Source organism: Homo sapiens, chromosome 2 (assembly GCF_000001405.40).
Source record: "Homo sapiens chromosome 2, GRCh38.p14 Primary Assembly".
In the NCBI taxonomy this organism is placed as follows: Eukaryota; Metazoa; Chordata; class Mammalia; order Primates; family Hominidae; genus Homo; species Homo sapiens.
Genome location: NC_000002.12, coordinates 125,778,702 through 125,801,567, shown reverse-complemented (window position 1 = coordinate 125,801,567; position 22,866 = coordinate 125,778,702). Strand labels below are relative to the sequence as shown.

The following is a 22,866-nucleotide window of genomic DNA, read 5'->3' as shown; positions in this document are numbered from 1 at the left end:
GATGCTTCTAATATGCCAGCCTATTGTCTCTAGGCTGTAAGTTTTCTGTTGAGAAATCCATCATACATGATGAGTCACTTTTCTTGTTTTGCTTTCAAGATTTTCTTTGTTGTTATCTTTCAACAGTTGGATAGTAATGAATTTAAGTATTGCAGTCTTTGAGTTTATTCAACTCAGATTTAATAAACCTTTCAAATTTGTTGATTGTAGGTCTATGTCTTTGCTCAAGTGCATGAAGGTTTTGAACATTAAAAAACAAAAATACAAAACCCAAAAAACTCTGTGTCCTTTTCTGTCTATCTTCACCTTCTACAACTCCAATATTAAATATATTAGTCCTTTTGATGCTGTATTATGTCTTTTTTTTTTTTTTTTTTTGTCTGAGTCTCACTCTGTTACCCAGGCTAGAGTGCAGTGGCATGCTCTCGACTCACTGCAACTTCTGCCTTCTGGGTTCAAGCAATTTTCCTGCTTCAGCCTCCTGAGTAGCTGAGATTACAGGTGTGCACCACCATGCACAGCTAATTTTTTTATATTTTTAGTAGAGAAAGGGCTTCACCATGTTGACTGGTCTCGAACTCCTGACCTCAAGTGATCTACTGGCCTTGGCCTCCCAAAGTGCTGGGATTACAGGCATGAGCCACAGTGCCCAGACTTGTATCGTAAGTCTTTTATGAAACTGTGAATGCTAGATTATCACCTCCCTATTTTCCTCTCCCCTAAATCCCTGGTAATCACAACTCACATATAAGCTATATAATACAGTATTCATCTTTTTGTATCTGACTTATTTCACTTAGCACAATATCCTCCAGATTCGTCTACGTTGTTATAAATGACAGGGTTCCCTTCTGTTTAAAGGTAAATATTCCATTGTATGTATATATTACACTTTGTTTATCCACTGATCTGTTCATGAACATTAGGTTGTTTTCATATTATGGCTATTGTGAATACTATAGCAACAGAGAAGTGCAGAAATCTCTTTAATATCCAGATTTCAATTAGTTTGCATATACAGTTGTCCCTGGAATAACATGAGGGTTAGAGGTGCCAATTCCCCACATAGTTGAAAATCTACATATAACTTGCTTCCTCAAAAGCTTTACTATTAATAGCCTACTGTTGACTGGAAGTCTAATCAACAACATAAACAGTCAATTAATATATATTTTATGTTATATAAATTTTATACTGTATCCCTACAATAAAGTAAGTTAGATTAAATGTTATTAAGAAAATCATGAAGAAGAAAAAATGTATTTACTATTCATTAAGTGAAAGTTGATCATCATGATGAAGGTCTTCATCTTTGTCTCCACATTGAGTATGTTGAGAAGGAAGAGGGAGAGGAGGGCTTGGTCTTGCTATCTCATAGTAGCACAGGCAGAAGAAAATTTACATTTAAGTTTTCATTTAAGAAACGTATATTTAAGAAATTTCAATTTAAATTTAAACCTGTGAAATCCAAATACATATTCTTCAAGGGTTAACTGTATAATCAAAAGCAGAATTGCTGAATCAAATGGAAATTCTATGTTTAATTTTATGTAGAAGCTTCTTAGTCTTTTCCATAGTGGTTACAGGTAACATTTCTACCATCAGTGTACATTGTTCTTTTTTTTCTCTATGACTTTGTCAGCATTTATCTATTTTCTTCTTTTTAATAATAGTCATTAAAACAGATATGAGGTAATATCTTATTGTAGTTTTGATTTGTATTTCCCAGATGATTAGTGAGGTTGAGCACCTTTTTGTATATGCATTGGCCAACTGTAAGTCATCTTTAGAGAAATATCTATGCATGTTTTTTGCCCTTTTAAAAATGAAATGCTGCTGCTGCTGCTGCTGCTGATATTGATGCATATTATTTTTTGCTATTGAGTTGTAGAAGACTGTCACATATTTGGGATATTAACCTCTTATAAGATATATGGTCTGCCGATATTTTCTCCAGTGCCATAATTTGGCTTTTTGCTGTGCTGATTATATAATTTTTGCTTTGTTGATTGCACATAATTTTTCATTGTGATGTCCAATTTATCTATTTTTAATTTGTTTTATGTGCTTTTGAGTAATGTCCAAGAAACCATGGCCAAGACCAATGTCTCCAACATTTTCTCTATTATTCTTCTAAGGGTTTTATTGTTTCTGGGTTTATGTTTAGGTCTTTAATCTATCTGGGGTTTAGTTTTCTATATAGTTTAAGATTAGGGTTTTATTATTTTAAATGTGGATTTAAAAATGTCCAAACATTGTTCATTGGAGAGACTATCTTTTCATGTATTATTGGCACCCTTTTTGAACAACAGTTGACTGCATATGCATGGGTTTATTTCTGTGCTCTCTACACTGTTCAATTTGTTTATTTTTTTTAATGCCAGTACCATACTGTTTTAATTATTGTAGCTTTGTACTTTTTTTTTTTTTTTGAGACAGAGTCTTGCTCTGTCACCCAGGCTGGAGTGCAGTGGCTCGATCTTGGCTCACTGCAAGCTCCGTCTCCCAGGTTCATGCCATTCTCCTGCCTCAGCCTCCCGAGTAGCTGGGACTACAGGTGCCTGCCACCACACTCAGCTAATTTTATTTTTTTGTATTCTTAATAGAGATGGGATTTCGCCATGTTAGCCAGGATGGTCTCAATCTCCTGACCTCATGATCTACCCACCTTGGCCTCCCAAATTGCTGGGATTACAGGCTTAAGCCACCACGCCCAGCCTCTTTGTAATATATTTTAAAATCAGGGAATGTGATATTTGCAGGGTATTTGTTCTTCCTAAAAAAATTTTTAGGGTATTTAGGGTCATCTGTGGTTCCATAATAATATTAGGACATTTTTTCTATTTCTCTGAAAAATGTCATTTGGATTTCGATAGTAATTGTATTGAATCTAAAGATTGCTTTGGGAATTATGTACACCCTAACAATATTAGTCTAATAAATGAACAACAGATGGCCTTCCAATTATCTGTGTATTTTTAAATTTCTTCCATTAAGATCCTGTAGTTATCAGTAAACAAGTCTCCTAGGTTAAGTTTATTCCCAAGCATTTTATTCATTTAAGAGCTATTATGTATGGGATTGTTTTCTTAGTTTTTTTTCTCAGATAGTTAATTGTTGGTGTACAGTTGACCCTTGAACAACATGGGTTTGAACTGTGCAGGTCCACCTATATGGAGATTTTCTTCTGCTTCTGCCACTCCTGAGAAAGCAACACCAATTACTCTTCTTCTCTTTAGATTGCTCTACATACAGATGATAAGAATGTAGATTTTTATGATGATCAACTCCCACTTAATGAATAGCAAATATATTTTTCTTATGATTGTCTTAATAACATTTTCTTGTGTTAATTGACTCTTTATGTTATCAGTAGGTAAGGCTTTGGTTAACAGTAAGCTATTAGTAGTTATGTTTTGAGGAAGTCAAAGTTATATACAATTTATTTTCTGCATGGAGGATCAGCATCCCTAACTTCTGCCTTGTTTAAAGGACTGTATAGTAAGGCAATTGATTTTTTGATGTTGATTTTGTATCCGACAAATTTACTGAATCAATTTTATTGGTTTAAAAAGTTTTTTGTGAGGTCTTTATGACTTTTCTTGCTTAATTACCCTTGTTATGACTTCCAGGCTACTTTGAATAGACTTTGCCTTATTTCATATAAGAAAAGTTTTCAGCGTTTCATCACTGATTGTGATATTAGTAAGAGCTTTTCATAATGACTTTTTTTGTATTGAGGTAAGTTCCTTGTATGCTGTTTGTTAAGAATTTTCATTATAAAAATGTGTTGAATTTTGCTAAATGTTTTCTACATCTATTGAAATGATTATGTAATTGATATCCTCCTTTCTGTTAATGTGGTGTTGTATCACATTGATTAATTTGTGCATGTTGAACCATCCTTGCATCTCGGGAATAAATTCTACTTGGTTATGGTGTTTGATTGTTTTAATGTGCTGCTATATTTTGTTTGCTAGCATTCTTGAGGAGTTTTGCATCAATATTCCTCAAAAGTATTGACCTGTAGTTTTCTTTACTTGTGGGGTCTTTTCCTGGCTTTGCTGTTGGGTTGATTCTGACCTTATAAATAAGTTCAGAATTATTCTCTATTGCATATACTGAAAGCGTTTAGAAATGATTGATGTTAATTTTCTTTAAATGTTTGACAGAATTCACCCTTGAAACAATCTAGCCCCGGCTCCCTTCCCCCTCCCCCTCCCCCTCCCCCTCCCCCTCCCCCTCCTCTTCCCCCTCCCCGTCCCCCTCCCCCTCCCCTCCCCTCCGTTCCCTTCCCTTCCCTTCCTTCCTTCTCTCTTTCTTTCATTCATTTTTTATTACTGCCTCCATCTCCCTATTTGTTACTGGTATGCTAAGGATTTCTATTTCTTCTTGATTTAGTCTCGGTAGATTGTACATTTCTAGGAAACTCTCTATTTCTTACTTCTAGGTTTTCTAATTTGTTGGCATATACTTGTTCATAACAGTCCTTTATGATTCTTTTTATTGTGTGAGATCAGTTGTAATGTCTCATCTTTCATTTCTCATTTTATAAGTCTTCTCTGTTTTCTTTGTTCTTTTGGCTAAATGCCAATTTGTTTATTTTTTTTTCAAAAAATTAACTCTTAGTTTACATTTTTTCAAAAAATTAACTCTTAGTTTGTCCATCCTTGTTTCATTTATATATCCTCTAATCTTTATTATTTTTTTCTGCTAATGTGTGGTTTAGTTTTTTTCTCCTAGTTCTTGAGGTACAAAGTTCAGCTGCTTAGTTGAGATCTTTTTTCTTTATTAATGTAGGTATTTTTGGTATAAACTCTGAGTGATGATTTTGCTGCATTTCATAGGTTTTGATATGTTGTGTTTTTTTATTTAAATTGAGATATTCTTCAATTTACTTTTTAATTTCTGCTTTGCCTGAATAGTTGTTGAAGATTATTGTTTAATTTCCATCTATTATAACTTTTCTTTCTTTTATTGATTTCTATTTTCATTCCATTGTGATAAAAAGATGTATTAATTAATTTAAATCCTTTTAAATGAGTTAAGACTTGTCTCATGTCATAGTGTATGATCTGTCTTGCAGGCTGTTCTGTGTGCACTTGAGAATAAACTATATTCTGCTGCCATTCAGTAGAAAGTCCTATATATGTTTGTTAGGTTCATTTGGCCTATAGCGTTATCCAGTTCTGCTTTTTTCTTACTGATTTTCCTTCTAAATGATGTATACATTATAGAGAATGAAAGTTTCTTACTATTATTATATTGCTGTCTATTTCTCCCAAGATTTGCTAATATTTGCTTTATATACAGGTTGAGCATTGTAATCTAAAAATTCAAAATCTGAAATACTCCCAAATTCTAAACTTTTTGAGCACTGACATAATTCCATAAGTGGAAAATTGTACACCTGGTCTCATGTGATGAGTTGCAGTCACATTTAATACTGTTAAGTACCTTTGTGTGAATAAGTGTAGGAAAATGATTGCTTATTAGCAGTCAAGAATAATGGTGATACCAAACAATCACAGATTTTTCAGATGAGTGGCTGAGATAGTGACAATTTAAATTTTTGAAGGTTCAATCTACATAAGCATTGTTTCATATACAAAATTATTTAAAATATTATATAAAATTACTTTCAGGTTATATGTATAAGGCATATATAAAACGTAAGTGAATTTTATATATAGACTTAGTTCTCATTCCCAAGATATCTCATTATATATGTGCAAATATTTCAAAACAAAAGAAAAAGAAAAACAAGTTTGAAACACTTCTGGTCCCAAGCATTTCAAATAAGGGATACTCAACCTATATTTAGGTCATTTGATGTTGGGTGCATATATATTTACGATTATTATAAGTTCCTTTAGAATTGACCATTTTATTATTATACAGTGACCTTCTTGTCGCTTGTGACTGTTTTTGACTTAAAGTCTATTTTGGTCTGATAGAAGTGTGGCCACTCTTCGTTCTTTTTGGTTATCACTTGCAAGTATACATTCCTCCATCTCTTCACTTTCATCTTATGTGTGCCCCTAAATCTATCATTAAGTCTTTTTATTCAGTAAACAGTTGGATCTCAGTTTTTAATCCATTCAGCCACACTACATCTTTTTTTTTTTTTTGAGTTTAGTTCATTTATATTTAAAATCATGATTACTATGTAAGGAATTACTCTTACAAGTAGTGAATTGTTTTGTCTTTTGTGTAGTTCTCTTACTCTTTTTCTCCCTTGTCATTCTTTAGGTCCTGATGGTTTTTTGTATTGATGGGCTTGGATTATTTTATCTTTATATTTTGTGTATCTATTGTATTTTTATGGTTTTCATAAGATTTGCATTGAACATTTCATAGTTACAATAGTGTGTTGCATGCTGATAACAACTTATCTTAAATCACAGAAACTCTAGACTTGACTTCCTCTCTTTCCCAGTTTACATAGTCAATGTCAGATTTTACTTCTTTCTGTACTGTATTTCCATTAAAAATTTGTGGTCACGGAGATTTTTTTTCTGTTTATGTTCCTGTGTATTTATTTTTCTCTTCAGATGCAATAATTTAATATGACCTGACTTCAAATCTGTTTTTTCTTACTTCTGCCTATTCAAATCAGTTGTTAAATACTTCTATTAAAATTTTTCATCCAGGTATTTTGTTTTTCAGCTCTAGAATTTCTCTTTGGTTCTTTTTAAAATAATAAATACAATAATTTTTATCTGTATTGATAATCTCATTTTGTTTACATATCACTTTCCTATTTGTTTTAGTTATTGGTCTGTGTTTTTGCTTAGCTTGTTGAATTTATCTAAGATAGTTATTTTAAAGTCTTTGTTTAGTGGGTCCAATGCCTGTGTTGCTTCAGGGACTGCTTATAGAAATGTATTCTGTACCATTGAATGAGTTGATTTTTCCTGTTTTTGTTTTTTTTTTGTTGTTGTTGGGCTTGCAATCTTTAATTGAAAATTGGTCATTTGAAAGAACAGCCACCAATCCTATTCATTGCAGATTGGCTCCCTGCAGGGGAAAGCTTTATTAATTAGCAGGGCATGTTCTGAGACTTGTAATTGGCCCAATATGAAGACCTGTGGTCTTCTCAGGACTTTTCTGGATAGATGTCTTTGCTAGGCTGTGTATCTGCTTTTATTTATATTTTATTTTTTTCTGATTTCTCTCCCTACACAGTTATTTTTAAATTTCTTATTTTCTATGTGACTCTTACTTATTATGTTCCTTCCCTGGGCCTTAGGTGTTCTGTTGTGTTCCTAAGTGAGTAAGCTCTAGCCTCAAACATCTACAAGTCTATAGTTTTCCTCGCTTTTTGAGCCATGCTTGATGCTTCCAGTGGTTTTTACTAGCCTAAGATTCAAGCTGTACTCTTTGGCTATCTGAGCTCCATGTTAGGTGACACAGAGACCAATCCTTCAAGCAGTCCCCAGACAGGATAAGACATTGAAAATTAGGTCTTCTCTGCTCTCTGTGGTTCACAGAGGGAATTAGAGAATGGGCTGCCACTTCCCAAACTATGGCACACCGCACGGAAGGGAGTGTAGGATAGGACACATGAAATTTCCTAATGTATTGAACATGGCGGCTTTTTCTTGATTGAGTTCTCAGTTGGTCATATAGATCTTTGACTGATTTTCAGAAATCCCAGCAAGTTGTTTTAGTCAGCCTCTATTTGTTTCCTTAATATATTCATTGGGGAATGAGGGCCTGGATCTTTCTAGTTTGCCACCTTGCTAACGTCACAACCAATTTATTCTTCAAGCAAGCCTATAACATAGGTATTATAAACAATGCACTATTTTTTTTTTTAGATTAGAAACTCATGATAGAGAAAGGCTGAGTAACTTTGCCCAGGTCACACAGAGAGTAGCCAGCAGAGAGGAGTTTTGAACACTTTCTGTGAATTTAGAATTTTTATGGACTATGATTTTTATGGACTGAGATAGAGAAAAAGACTTGATGTCCCCATTTGTTTTCTAATTTTTTATTCTGACCTTGAATTTTGAAACATACAGAGTAAGTAATAGGCTGATACTTAAATTCAATTGTTGTGTCATAGCTGAGCAGCAGAAATCAAAGTGGAGCCAGTTAACCTAAAGAATGAAACTCAAAAATAATAAAGAAATGGTGTGTCATTGGTATAAATAACACACAAAAGAAAAACCAACTTTACCCTTCAGGTGTGCAAAGCATCTGTGAGTAATGACTTTTTATTTTAGTTATTCTTTTGCTAAGTGTTTTGAAATCCACTGAGTAAGAAGGGTCACAAAAGGTATGATTTAGTGGAAATTGGAAAACAATAGTTTTAGAAAAATGTTTGATTTCAATATATATCTTATGCTCTCTGGGAACCTCTCCCTTCTTAACATTGAGACCACGTCTGGCAAGCAGTTGGCAGGAGGCAAAGGTCTGCAGCAAGGGACTACAAACAAGACAATTACTGGAATTCAGAAAAGAAAAAAAAGGCTTTCCCCACACAGAGTACTGAATATCAAAGAGCAATTTTATCTTACGCTGTAAATGAAATGCATCTGTCTATTCCACTCTAGCATGGATAAAGGCTTATGGTGGGAGGTCTATCCTCAGAGTCATCAAATAAGAATTTTTTTTAATGTTTGTTTTAAAATCGAAGTGTTGCCTGAAATATGATAAGGCCTGTAACAATATGTGCTGGGCTCCAATTATAATCTATTAATAAGCAATTAATAATAATTATCACTAATTGGTAAGTCACTTTCATACATTTATGAATACCAAAAAAGGCAATTCAGTAAATTTTAATAAGAATCTAAAATGGACTAAGTCTCATAGTTTGCTGGAGGAATATAAAGATTAGATATTTTTAGTTCAATGAGTTTCATTAAGTAAAACCAGGAGGAAAACAAAAAAATTGGAATATGACTTGTTTCATTTATACAGGACACATTTGCTGCATGTTTGCTCAGTATCTAACACTAGGATAGATGTTAGAATTTTTAAATAAAGTTGAATAATGTATTGTCCCTGCCCTTAAAGATCTACAGAGAGACATGAAGACCAAGACATGGAAGTAAATTAATAATCACAGGGCACCGTGGTGCATGCCAAGGTAAAAGTGCATACCAAATGTAGCAGCAGAGGTGAGGATCTATTTGCAGAAGGACTGAATTGCCTCCTAGAAAACTCAAGCCTTATTTACCATTGCTTTGGGCACATCTCACGAACTCGTCCTGTAGACAGACACATATCTCTATGCTAGCTTTATGGAAACAGCTCTAATTAAAATAAAGCTGTGACTACCAGAGGATGGATGAGGAACAAAGCCTTATTCTTTGCAATAATGTACATGCATAGCCTTGAGGAGTTCCACATTGTGATTTCAGCAATGTCTTGGCTATTGCTCACTCTCCCCAGCTCTATGAATGTGTACAGGGAAACGTATGACTCTAAAAACTGAGAGAGCTCTTGCACTAAACTGTCAAATACAGTGAGAAATCACTAGAGTTGACCCCAATGGAATGACATTTGAAAGAGTCACTGTCCTTCTCAACACTTTGATCCCAAAGCACAATACTTGGCAGCACAGAACATCACAATGGGATTTAGACTGTATGTGTGGCCAGGGAGTCTGGTGAGGTTCTAGCAGACCAGCAGTAGACACCAGACATGGTCTGTGGCATCCGACAAGGCCAAAGAGGCAATGCAGAGCAGCAGAGGCACCCTGTATGGTGTGGCACACCCAGAGTAACAGCAGCAGCCCCCAGTGTGACAAGTGGAGCAGGAGAGAAGACTGTCAGCAGAGCCCTGTGGAAGAGAGACGGCAATGAATAGAAGCATCATGCCCAGGGCACAGCATCGAGGATGTTTAGTAGCAAACCTACTGGTGGGCATATGGAATAAACCAGAAATATTACCCAGGAATATTTCCCACTTTGGAGCAATACAAGGCCCACCTTGAATAAGTAAGTGCTAATGCCAGGGATGCCTGGACTGTTTTAGTTACCGTGACACCTCCCTCCAATCTGTATCCATCTCAGAGGGTAGAGGAAATGTAGGTAATCCATGTACACACCCAAAGTAAGGTACCTGACAAAAGGTATAATGCATAGAAGTTTTTTTTTTTTTCCTTAAACAGCTTTATTAAGTTATAATTCACATGTCATACAATTCACCTACTTAAACTGTGCAATGCAAAGGTTTTTAATATTTACACGGAGTTGTGGGACCATCATCATCAACTAATTTTAGAATAACATCAAAAATAATATGCTTACTCATTAGCAGTCACGTCCCCATGCCCCCTATTGTCCCCCTATCTCCTGATAACCACTAATCTATTTTCTTTCTCTACAGATTTGCTCTTCTTATTTCATATAAACAGAATTACATAACATTCATTTTCTTTGGGTAACTGGCTTCTTTCAATTCGTATAATGTTTTCAAGGTTCATTCATGTTGTAACATGTATCAATACTTCATTCCTTTTTGTTACCCAATAATATTCTATTTTATGGATATACCAAATTTTGTCCATCCAACCATTAGTTTATGAAGACTTAGGTTGCTTTCACTTTTACTATGAATAATTTCTGTGAGCATCCATATACAAGTTTGCAGGTGGATATACATTTTCATTTCTCTTGGATATATACCTAGGACTAGAATTATCGGGTCATGTACTAATTCAATATCTAACATTTTAAAGAACTGACAAAGGATTTTCTAAAATGACTATATCATTTTACACTTCCAGAAGCTATGTATGAGAGTTTCACAGACTTGCCAACACTTGCTAATATCTGTCTTTTATTATAATCACTCTAGTATGAGTGAAGTGGTATATCATTGTGATTTTAACTTATTCTCTAATGACAAATGATGTTGAGCATTCTTTATGTGCTTATGGGACATTTGTGTATCTTCTTTAGAAAAATTTTTATTTTTACTTGGCTTATTTATCATTTGTTATTGAGTCCTAAGATATTTTCATATAGCCTGGATATAATTCTCTTTTCAGATACATGATTTGCAAATATTTTCTGACATTCTGTTAGTATCCTTTACACACATCCTTGATGGTATTGGTTGATGCAGCAAACATGTTGATGTTGATGTAATCCAATTTATCTATTTTTTTCTTCTGTTGTTTTGGATTATTTTCGGTCATATCTAAAAATAATGTTAACCCAATATACTGAGGATGTACTTCTACATTTTCTTCTGACTGTTTTATATTTTGGGATTTTACATTTTGGCTTATCATGTATTTTGAGTTAATTTTTGGGCATGATGTGAGGAAGGGGTCTAACTTATTTCCTTTTTATATGGATATTGAGTTGTCCCAGTATCATTTGATGAAACTATTATTTATACCCACATTGAATAGTCTTGGCACTTGGTAGAAAATCAATCAACCACAGATTGTATGAATTTATTCCTGGACTTTGATTTCTATTCCATTGATCTATAGACCTATCCTTGTACCAGCACTGTACTGTTTTGATTATTGTAGCTTTGTAGAAAGTTTTGAAATCAAGAAGTGTGAGTCCCCCAACTTTGTTTTTCCTTTTCTGGATTGTTTTGTCTATTTTTCATCCCTTGTATTTCCAAATGAATTTTAGGATCAGCTTGTCAATTTCTGTATAAAATGGAAGCTGGAATTTTGATAAGGAATATTTTCAGTCTATATTAATTTAGTTATCATTGCCATTCTACAATTGTGTGGGAATCTCAGTACTTTTGGCCAAAGCAGCCTCAAATAATAGAGAATTTTCAGGACAGAGCTGGGGTGGGGTGAGGGAAGCTGGTGCTAGCTCTTCTTGGGTTCAATTTGTAGCTCTATTTTATTTTGATTTGTTTTACTAGAGACAAGGTCTTCCTCTATCACCCAGGCTGGAGTGCAGTGGCATAATCATAGCTCACAGAAGCCTCTAAGTCCTGGGCTCAAGTGATTCTCCTGCCTCAGACTCCACAGTAGCTGGGACAACAGTCACTTGCCACTGTAGCTCTAGACCAGCAGCTGGTAAGAGTGGGAACCTGGAGTCTTTAGCCACACTTACCCAGAATAGAGCTTTGTCACACTGACTTGGGAGGCAATTTGTTACACAGACTCACTGTTCTTACAAAGATTTAGTAGATTTTGTTGAATATTTGTGTCTCAATTGCTGTATGCCCTTACGAAAATTTCCAGAGACTAAGTGTTGCTTTTGTTTTGGTTTGGTTTGTTATTTTTAAATAATTTTATGCAGTTAAGTGATTGTTTCACTAAAAAAAGCATTTGTCTTGCTCCTTACACACTGCCCCTACTTGTAGTTTTGTAAGTTCTTCTTCCTTTCCTGACTTCTGCAATGAAAAGTCATCATGGTTCTGATCTATTGCTATAAACTTACAAATATGGGCTCCTCCATGAAGAGTTGTGCTTCCTATGTGCACATTGTTGTTGTTGTTGTTGCTGTTGTTGCTGAGATAGGGTTTGAGTTTCACTCTGTCACCTAGGCTGGAGTACAGTGGCATGATCATAGCTTGATGCACCCTGCAACTCCTGGGCTCAAGTGATCCTCCCACACCTGCCTCCCAAAGTGCTAGGATTGCCGGAGTGAACCCCACACCCAACCCTATGTGCTCATTCTTTAAACAAACTGTTTTTATTGTATTTAATCACCTAATATTGCAGTAATTTTTAAGAACCTCAAATCCAGGTCTATGCTATTTTCTTCTTTGTAACACCAGGGTCCAGCATAGGCTTGACACAGAGTAAGTATTTATTGAAGAAACAAATGAATCCGTGCATGAATAAGGTGAGCAAATTGAGACTGAGAAGAAATTGGGCTTTTATTTCTATACTTGGCAATATGAAAACTGAGAATAATACAATACAGCATATTATTTATTTAAATACTTTCATTGCCTCCTTTTCCATTAAACACAAATATAAATACCAAATCGCAAATGCAATTCCTGAATGTAATTCCTTCTCCCAGGGTAACTTGAAGTTATCCCAGGTTGCTGACTAAAGGCTATTTAATGGTAAAGTGTTTTATAATATGGGGAATTAAGCCAGATAATGTTTTCAATAAAGGGACAATTTGCTGGGAAAAGAAAATTAGAATCAGCAAATTTTTAACCTGACAAATTAGAAAATATTATTACTATTTTTCATCCAGTGTACTTAATAATTGCCAAGTACTTGTTCTAATGTGCATTAGAGTCTATTAAATCATCTCTGTGCTAACATTGTCTGTATTCCTATTATTGCACTTTCCACACAGGACTGTAATTACTGCACTTATTTAGGCATTTATTTCCATCATTAACTGGGGTTCTTTGAGAGTCATCACAAAGTATTGAATATCGGTATGCCCCAGATGCATAGCACATAAACAGTGCTCAATAAATGTTTGTTCAATACATCCTTTCATGTATCATCTTGTTATAATGACGTGCTTTCATGTCAGCTCCTTCAAGCTCCTCAAAGATAGTCTTTCATCTTCTTGACAGTATTCACAGATTGAATAATTGGATTAACAAGTAAATAAATAAATGAGGGAATTAGTGACTGAATACATTTTCTAAAAACTGTTTTGTTTTCTTTTGTTTGTTTTTTGAGACAGAGTTTCACTCTTGTTGCCCAGGCTAGAGTGCAATGGCGCGATCTTGGCTCACTGCAACCTCTGCCTCCCGGGTTCAAGCGATTCTCCTGCCACAGCCTCCTGAGTAGCTGAGATTACAGGCGCATGGCAACACGCCCGGATAATTTTTGTATTTTCAGTAGAGATGGGGTTTCACCATGTTGGCCAGGCTAGTCTCGAACTCCTGACCTCAGATGATCCACTCACCTCAGCCTCCCAAAGTGCTAGGATTACAGGGGTGAGCCACCGTGTCTGGCCCCTAGAAACTATTCTTTATATTTCACAGCCTTGGGTGGAAAAATGGATATGGATGTATGTATTAACACATGGATATATTAACACGTGTTAATACATACATCCATATCTCAATAACTATGAACTACTACCTACTTAACTATGTAGTCTAATTTCTCATGGAGCCTCCATCTCAAATATTCTCAATGGTACTCTCCAAGTTCATGAATAGTTGTAGCATTTGGTTTACTTGATAATATTCCTTAATAAAATTTCTCTGAGGGTTTTCATGCCCTTTCTTATAATAAGGCCTTTGTCAGATCCCCCAAATCCTTCAGATATAGTTGCATATATCTGCAGAGGACAATTGACTGTATATTTGTTTGTTCGTTTGGCGTCCAAATGCTTAAACAGAAAGTTGTGAGGAAATACAGAACCACATCCTTGGTGAAAGCCAGGCATCCTCCACCATCATAAGGCTCCAGGAGCCAAGCCATCTCTCTTCTTAGCTCTACCAGCAAAGATAAAGGACAGATAGCAGCATAGACTTTGCCAACCGAACACTCCTCCGTGAGATGTAGAATCAGGAGTTAAGTGAGACACAGGCTGGTTAGAACTCATGGTGTATGAATGTGCAGGGGCAGTGGTGCTCGCTTAGTGGTGGCTGCATACTGCCCAGACAACTTCTAGTAACAACCGGATGTTGTGTTACGTTCTTGAGCATCCAGGTCTTCTGTGATTTCTGCTAGCTAACCAAATGCAGCTTCCTGACTACCATCAGTGTTTGAGTTACAATGGCTTTTTAATACATTTCTTGTTTTGCTTAACTCAATTAAAGTCAGTTTCTCTTACTTGGAGCACAAAACCTTGATTGAGACAATATTTATACAGAAAAGGTTAAAAGGGTTTGAACATTTTACTTTCCAAGAAGTTACTCAGCCCCAGTAAAAATCAAAAGATACAAATAAATGTTCAGAAAAGAATATCATTTACCTCCTCTCAATAGAATATCTGAGTTCTGCTGTTTCACAGATGGAATACAGAATAGGTGGCTTTATCATGCCATCTCTTAAATCTCCTGATGGAGACCAGCCTCTATAAATCCATGTTCATAAAACACTACTTTGGGAAGAGGTTAGTGAGTACTTTGGAGAAAGAGGATTCATAGTCATATAACGTTGTGGTATACTGGATGCAAAATCCTACTCTTGGAGATTCACTACATACATTAGCCTATTTAAGACTCCTCAGAGTCTTAAAGGCTCTCATATATCCTTCCGTAACTCACTGCTTTTGGGATTAATTTAGAAAACAAATTTTAAAACAAGCTAATTAACATAATATGGAATCACAGCCTACTGAAACCAATTTGAATAACATTAATAGAGATTGTTAGTGTTCTTCACGATTTACCTTGGAGGGAACAGAGGCACTTGCCAAAGAACCTGAAATGCTTTCATGATGCTTTTCAACCCAGTGCGGCAAAATTCCTTGTGCGTCCTGCCACCTGTCTCCCCTTCTGAGTGGCTTCAGAGAAGCGAGAAAGTGTAAGAGAGGACTAATTTCAAAACAAAGAAATAAAGAAAAAATACTTACTGGGTAAATATGAATGACCAAATACTCATAAAAAGCAAATGTTCTGTACTCTTGAAAGTAGAATAAGCTCCCTAATTGGCTTATAGGTATTAACTGGAGGAGAAATGTAGTCTCTAATTGGATGCTAAGGGAGGAAAATAAGGAGCATTCATTATTGCTCATTTCAATATTACTCATAATAGGAAACCACTAGTCCGCATCTATTGGTCTAGTGAAATAGAGAAAGAGGGTTATAAGGATATTAGTGTAAATGAAATCTGTAAGAACATAATGTATGAAAAAACATCTAGCCGGGTGTAGTGGCTCACGCTTGTAATCCCAGCACTTTGGGAGGCTGAGGCGGGTGGATCACAAGGTCAGGAGATCAAGGCCATCCTGGCTAACATTGTAAAACACCGCCTCTACTGAAAATACAAAAAATTAGCCAGGCGTGGTGGCATGCACCTGTAGTCCCAGCTACTTGGGAGGCTGAGACAGGAGAATTGCTTGAAGGTTGCAGTGGGCCGAGATTGCATCACTGCACTCCATTCTGGGTTACAGAGTGAGACACTGTCTCAAAAAAAAAAAAAAATCTAGATACAATAGCTTCCTAAATATAGAAATAAAAACCAAAAATGAACAAAGGTAAACCACGTAGATTACATAGTGAAATAATATATATAATATATGTGTGTATTTTGTGTGTGTCTGTGTGTGAGTGTCTAGGTTTATTATTGTGTATACATATATTCATATAGAGACTGTAACATGAAAACATTTAAAAAACCTGAAGGCAAGCATATTAATCACACTAATAAATGTAAATGGGTCAAACTCACCAACTGAAAATAACATTTTCAGATTTGCTTAGAAAGTAAAATCAAACACTGTGCAGGAAATACACATAAAGGAAAGAGACAGAATGGTTAAAAAAATGGTATATGAGGCATAGAAAACAAAAGGAAAGTAGTTTCTCCGTCATGATCTATGAAGAAGATTGAGACTAAAAGAGTTATCAGAGACAGGACCTTTTGGAATGTTAAAGTATCACAATGAAAATATTAAATATTTATTTGTTCAAAGATGGAGAAATAATTTTCATAATGCAGAAATTACAGAAGATGTAAAAATAAATATATAAAAGCATATTAATAATAGACTTTAATAAACTTACCTTAATTAAATTCAGGGCATTCAATAACAGCAAATAAAATCACTAAAGATATCGAAGACATAGGAACAGAAATAAAAAAGAATCTTTTAGACATACATCAAAATCTGTACCCCAAATTATAAAGAATATACCTTCTTTCAAATACACAAGAAATATTAATGAAAATTGATGATAGCATGAAAGAATACTGCTATAAATTCCAAAGAATAAAAGTAATGCGGATAGAATTATCTGACTATTAAAATGTAGTATACCAGAAAATATTACTCTTGACTGACCACAGGACAATGTGCTACAACATTCTATTTTTTAGAAGATAATAAATCTGGAAATAATATAACATACTATTAGACATCTGTAAATAAAGTGAAACACAGACTGAATATTCATAATGTTTAAAGTTTGAAAATGAAAACACAGTAAGAAATCTATGCCATAGTGACATACCTATCTCTAGCTCCAATATTTTAGCACTATATGGCTATATCAATAGGAGTAAAAATAAGTGTATGAAACCCTAAAAATTCAGACAATAATGAAAGAGTAAAGCAAATGAGATAAGAAGAAAGGAAATTATAAATATGTAAATAAATATTAATTTGAGAGATTAAAAAATATAATCCATAAATAAATGTAAGCAAAGCTCTTTAAATATGTGTGAAAATCATTAGCTACACAATCAAGTAAAAGGAAAATACCAATAAAATTATAAAAGACAAAGAAAATACAAATTTAGAAAAATTTGTCCAAATACATTTGAAAAACTAGATGAAATGGAGAAATGTGTAGAAAAAAAACTTGAAAAATTTACCCCAGTACAGACAGAAAATTAAAAAGCCCAATTAACATGGAGTTAATTTAAAAAATAGTTTAAAAATCTACTCCTATATATATTATATTGTGTGTGTGTGTGTGTGTGTGTGTGTGTGTGTGTGTGTGTATCAGATCCAATGTTTTTGTGGAGGAATTTTGACCAAACATGAACTAATAAAATAACAATTATTTACCACTATTATCCCTCACAGTACTGACGGTTGCCTGGGCTTAGCTCAGTGGTTCTTGCCCAGGGGCTCTCATAAGGTTGCAGTTATAACAATGACTAGATCTTGAGTAACTCCACAGCTCTCTTACTCACGTGACTGATATCTGGGCTTAAAAGACTCAAATGGCCGAGAGCTGTATAGCTGGTCATCTCAGCCATCTTTATGTGGTTTCTCTACATGACGTCTTTAGCACAGTGGTTGCAGGATAGCTGGACTTCTTAGATGACAGTTCTGGGCATCAAAAACATATGTTCCAAGAAAGATAGGTGGAAGTTTCATCACCTTTTATGAACTAGCCTTAGAAATCACACTGTCCATTTCTTCCACATTCAATTTATTGGAAGCAGGTCTGTAAACCAGCTCATATTCACGGAACAAGGGTTTGACTCCAACTCTTTTTTTTCATGCAAAACAGAATTTGCAGGCATGTTTAAAACTACCGTCCACCATTTTAACAAAGTTAACACAGATTAATAAATGAAAAAGCAAAATAATACATTATTTGGAGATTAAAAAACAGCTAAGGGGAGATTCACAGAAAAAGTTGTTTCCTCTTTGGAAGGGAAGAGAAATTAATCATGGAATAATTCAGACAGACTGATCTTTCTCTGTTTTGTGAGCTGGATGGTGGGTATTTTACTAAGACGTCTGCAACAATATCTCCCAACCAACAAGCTCTTCTTACTTTTTCACTCCTCATATTAAAAAGTGAGTTATGGATCCCCTACACTTAAAACTTGGTAGACTTGGGACTGCTTCAACCAATAGCATTTTTTTTGAAACCTCCAAGATGAGGTCAGAAAATGAGCTGCAGCTTCTCCCCTGTTCACTACAGAGCTTGTGGGACCTCTGAGCTGCTGTGTGCAAAAAGTGTGATGACCTAGAGGCTGCTGGGAGGTCTGGAAGCCAAACCCTCTGTAGGTGCTCCACTCAGCAATTATAGTCTTTGAGTCCTCCCAGCCCAGGCACCAGTCTTTAAAATTACTGATTATTCTTCTGAGTTCAGACCAAAGCTATGTTACTCCCAAGCTTTGAATCTTCCCAGAGGAAGCTCCAGACATTGGCACACAAAGACAAGCTATCCCCATTATATCAGGCCCAAATTCCTGCTCATAGAGTCATCAGCATAATGTGATTGTTTCTTGGTGCTAGGTATTGGGGTAGTTTGTTATGCAGCAATAAAATTTATGCAGCCACATGGGTGTTACTATTATTATTAATGCTATGTGTTATATAAATTCTTGTTTCTATATTTAATAGAAATAAACATTTACAAAGAAAGAAGGGACAAGTTTCACATCAGTGGATAGTGTTTAAAATATAAAAGAAAACTATCACCTAAATGTGTTGGTGCTGGTAAATAATGTTGGACTGAGCAGAGATTACAGTTAACCCTTGAACAACATGGTTTTGAACTGTACAGGTCCACTTAAACATACTTTTTTCAATAAATATGGTTGAATTTTTTTGAGATTTGCAGCAATTTGAAGAAAAACTCTTAGACAAACCACATAGCCTAGAAATATTGAAAAATTAAGAAAACATTAGCTATGTCATGAATGCATACAATATAAATAGATACTAGTCTTACATGTGTCAACTGACTGTTGATGTTATTGGTAAGGCTTCTGGTCAACAGTAGGCTATACATAGTTATGTTTTAGGGGAATCAAAAGTTAATGTGGATTTTGGACCTCAAGGAGGGTTGGCACCCCTAATTCCCATGTTGTTAAGGGTCAACTATAATTTAGAACAGGAAGAAAGTTCTCTTTTTGTTTTGTTTTGACTACTTTTGTATCACCTCATTTGGGGTATTGTTTTATGTTAGTAAACATTTTAACTTATAATTTAATCTTCTTTTTGTTAGCATTTAATTTGTTTGTTGAATGAATAAAGTAAAGCAATCATCATGTGACTTACTAAGTAGCATGGGTTACATGCACTTCATGGCAGCCTGGAACAGACCCCTGTGGGTGGTCAGCAGTCAGCCATTCAAAGAATCATTCCCCACCAACGTGGAGAAAGTGTTTGGGAAATCCAACTTAAGAGATATGGTACTTCATATATATGATATTTACATAGAGTAGCTCTGAAAGATTGCTCATAGATAGGTAGCTGACTTTCAGAACAGTTGAAATTGAAGTATGTGACATACTAATAAGATACAACTGAGGGAAGGAAACAAAGTCTATTCAAATCTGCTGCCTCTGTTTTTCTGCAGCTAGGTTAAATCAAATCACAGGCCTAACTGATTTTCACATGAGTGACAGTGGCCCCTGTTCCACAATAGGTATAAGCAGAGATGTATTTATTAAAAAAAAATAAGAATTCTGGCGAGTCACACCTACTGGCTTAGGTAGATACAAATATTAATAATAATGATTAATAATAATGACAATAGCTATCACCTAACAGTGATGTTACAGAGACTATTTTAAGCACACAGCATAGAAGTCATGGATCTGGGACTCAAATTCAGAAATTTTGGCTTCAGAGTCTGCCTTTCACTACAACAGTTCACCTCTTATAATAGACTTAGATAGGCAAATACTAGAAAGAATAAAGCATAGAGAGATACAGCAATAGACAAAGAAACCAAGAGCTATAAAGACACACACACAGGCAAAAACATTATGGAGATATGTATGTAGATGTTATGTAGACATTATGTAAACATTATGTAGGTATGTATGATAACAATGTACTACATGTGCAGAGATCCACTTAAACCCTTGAATTTTAGCTTGAAAAATAAAAACCATCTTCCCCACTTGTCATCCAAAAATATCAGCACAGAGAAGGGAGAAGGTCAAACAAAAGTCACTTTTAATTTTTTTTTCCAAATTCTCATTGGAAACTTCTATCATGATAAATGCTCTTGATCAATGTCAGGACACTTTCTGACTAGTGTAGAAATAAAGAAGGAGCCTGGAGCCAGGAGAGACCTACACATATTTTAACAATGAAAGAAGCGTGTGATGTGTGCAGCTGACATCCTAGAGAGTGTGAGTTAGCAAGGGACTCTCCCCATGCACCTTCTTGGGCTGCACATGCAAGATGTAGCCAACATTGAGAATCCTGGAGAACAGCAACTGTTCTAGGAATGACTGCTTTTATCTATTTTCTCTTCTGCCCCTAGAGGACCTGGGAGTTTAAGCAACAGGAGATGTGAACTTAATACTTGGATAAGTTTTCCAAACTCTTGATGTCTCAGTCTCTGTGATGGTAGTATAACAATATAAAAACTCACAATAGTAATGATAATAATAATAATAGTTGCCCTGAAGTCTTGTCATGATGATTACAGAAAGTATAAGTGGAGTAGTAATTTTAAATTACAGTAGTTATTCTAAAGTTAATACGCCTCTTTTCCAACTTCAGCATATGAAGGAAATCCAAGGGGAATGAAATGTGTCCAGTTTCTAATGCCCTCCCTGGCGAAGGCCCAACAACATTTCAGGCCAGTTTTACTCTGCCACAATTCATTTGCACTTAAGTGCATCTGACCTATAATAAGTTCATGAGAACTTTAGAAGAATAATTACATTTTAGCAGGAGATAACCATTTAAGTCAAAGAAAGCTCTCTCTTGGTGATAATTTGGACTGTTTAGGCCAGTTTCAGGAGTACCCTTAGGGGAGGGGTAATCTTTAAACACTGACTTGACAGCCGTGGGAAAGGAAGTCTGGTCAGACTCTTCCTCAGCTGATGGGGAACTCATTCTTGATGCCAAGGAATCAACTAGAAGTTGCTGGAGATTCTTTCCTATCCTGGATTCATCCCAGGATAAATTGAATTGCTATAGGATTGCTCATCATTTAAAAACTTCAAGACTCAAACAGGAAAATTCACAATGGTGAAAATTCAAGAACTATGAAAGACTGTGGAAAAGATATGTTGAAGAAAGAAATGATCCTGATTTTCTTCAAATATAATCTGAGAAAAGGAGCATTCATTGAGCCCCATCATTCATTGAGCATTGTGCTATCATGGGTATTGTCACATGAAAAATCATACTTAATTCTCACGACACAACTAAAGGAAAGTACTTGTATTTTATTTGGCTTTTACTACCATATACTCACTATCAAAATTATGAAAAATGAAAAAAAGTATTGATATAAACATTTTAAAAAACATAATTTCTTCATAAAGGCAATAGCTATTATTTTTGTGTGTTTACTTGTAACATTTCTCAGTATATGCATGATGTATTTTATACAGTTTACATATTACCCTTAAATCATTAATCCTGTTATTTTCACTTATTGTGTGCAGTTTAATATGTTTGTATAATATTTTGTCATATGAGTATTTTTGTATTTATGAATGTATACATTAATATAGAAAATTTACATGAATAATACAAAACAGACATTAAAAATAACCTTTCTGCAGGACAAATTAGTTATAAGTATACTGAATTGGGAGAATCAATTTGGAAATATAAATTAACACCGAAGCACTATTTAGTTGCCATAATAAAATTTATTTGCCCAGAACAGGTTTATTTATAGCTGTTATAAAGCTGAATTTCTGAAACTCATTCTCAGAAAGGTACTGATGGCTTTAGTGCCTTAAATGCCTTATATATTTAAAATTGATAAGTAAATGAAAATAACAGAGGAGAAAACAACTTCTAAATAACTGATTCTACCCCTCCTTTATTTCCATTTCTAATCTTACATTTAGGTAGAAATATCTATTACTCAGAACAAATCATCAGGACAAAGTATAATTTTAACTGGCTATGGCACGATTCTCACCAGTGTGGAGCTCAGATATGTTTTCTGTGTACATGGGCAGTTAGTAGCAGCTTTGGAGCAATAATTACACCTGTGGAATCAACAGTGTATAGATTGATGTCTTTACAGTAGCCTACCTCATAGGTCTTCTCTGTTGTCTGCAAAGCATCAATAAATAATATCTCAATATGGAATCTGTCTTAAAGTTCAGAGCAGTTTTATCTTAGACACACTGGGAAAAAGTTTATAAATAAAACTTTCAAAATAGTTTTATAAATATAAAATCTGAGGGAAGCTTTTATATATCAATTTATACATAACTGTCTTTTCATCATCTCTCTCTCTCTCTCGATATTGACATAGACATAGACATAGATGTAGATACACGTGTAGGTCTCCACTGCTTCTGAAGCTCTCCAGTAGAGGCAGTAATCTTGAGAATAACCCAATAACTATTACAAAGATGTTCTTCCTGTG

At 34.9% G+C, this 22,866-nt stretch overlaps 2 long non-coding RNA genes across 3 annotated transcripts in view; one reads left to right on the top strand and one right to left on the bottom strand.

Annotated features, from left to right (window-relative positions):
* Positions 1–22,866, top strand: part of LOC124900611 (uncharacterized) — an 85,494-nt gene that overhangs the window by 9,789 nt on the left and 52,839 nt on the right. The window lies entirely within an intron of this gene.
* Positions 7,981–22,866, bottom strand: part of LINC01889 (long intergenic non-protein coding RNA 1889) — an 82,638-nt gene continuing 67,752 nt past the window's right edge. The window contains exons 2-4 of one of the 2 annotated variants that reach the window (XR_923294.3): positions 16,603–16,644; positions 15,267–15,411; positions 7,981–9,795 (exon numbers count right to left, since the gene is read on the bottom strand). This is a non-coding gene — a long non-coding RNA (long intergenic non-protein coding RNA 1889). The remainder of the gene's footprint in view (positions 9,796–15,266; positions 15,412–16,602; positions 16,645–22,866) is intronic. The other variant, XR_923295.3, reaches the window with a different exon arrangement.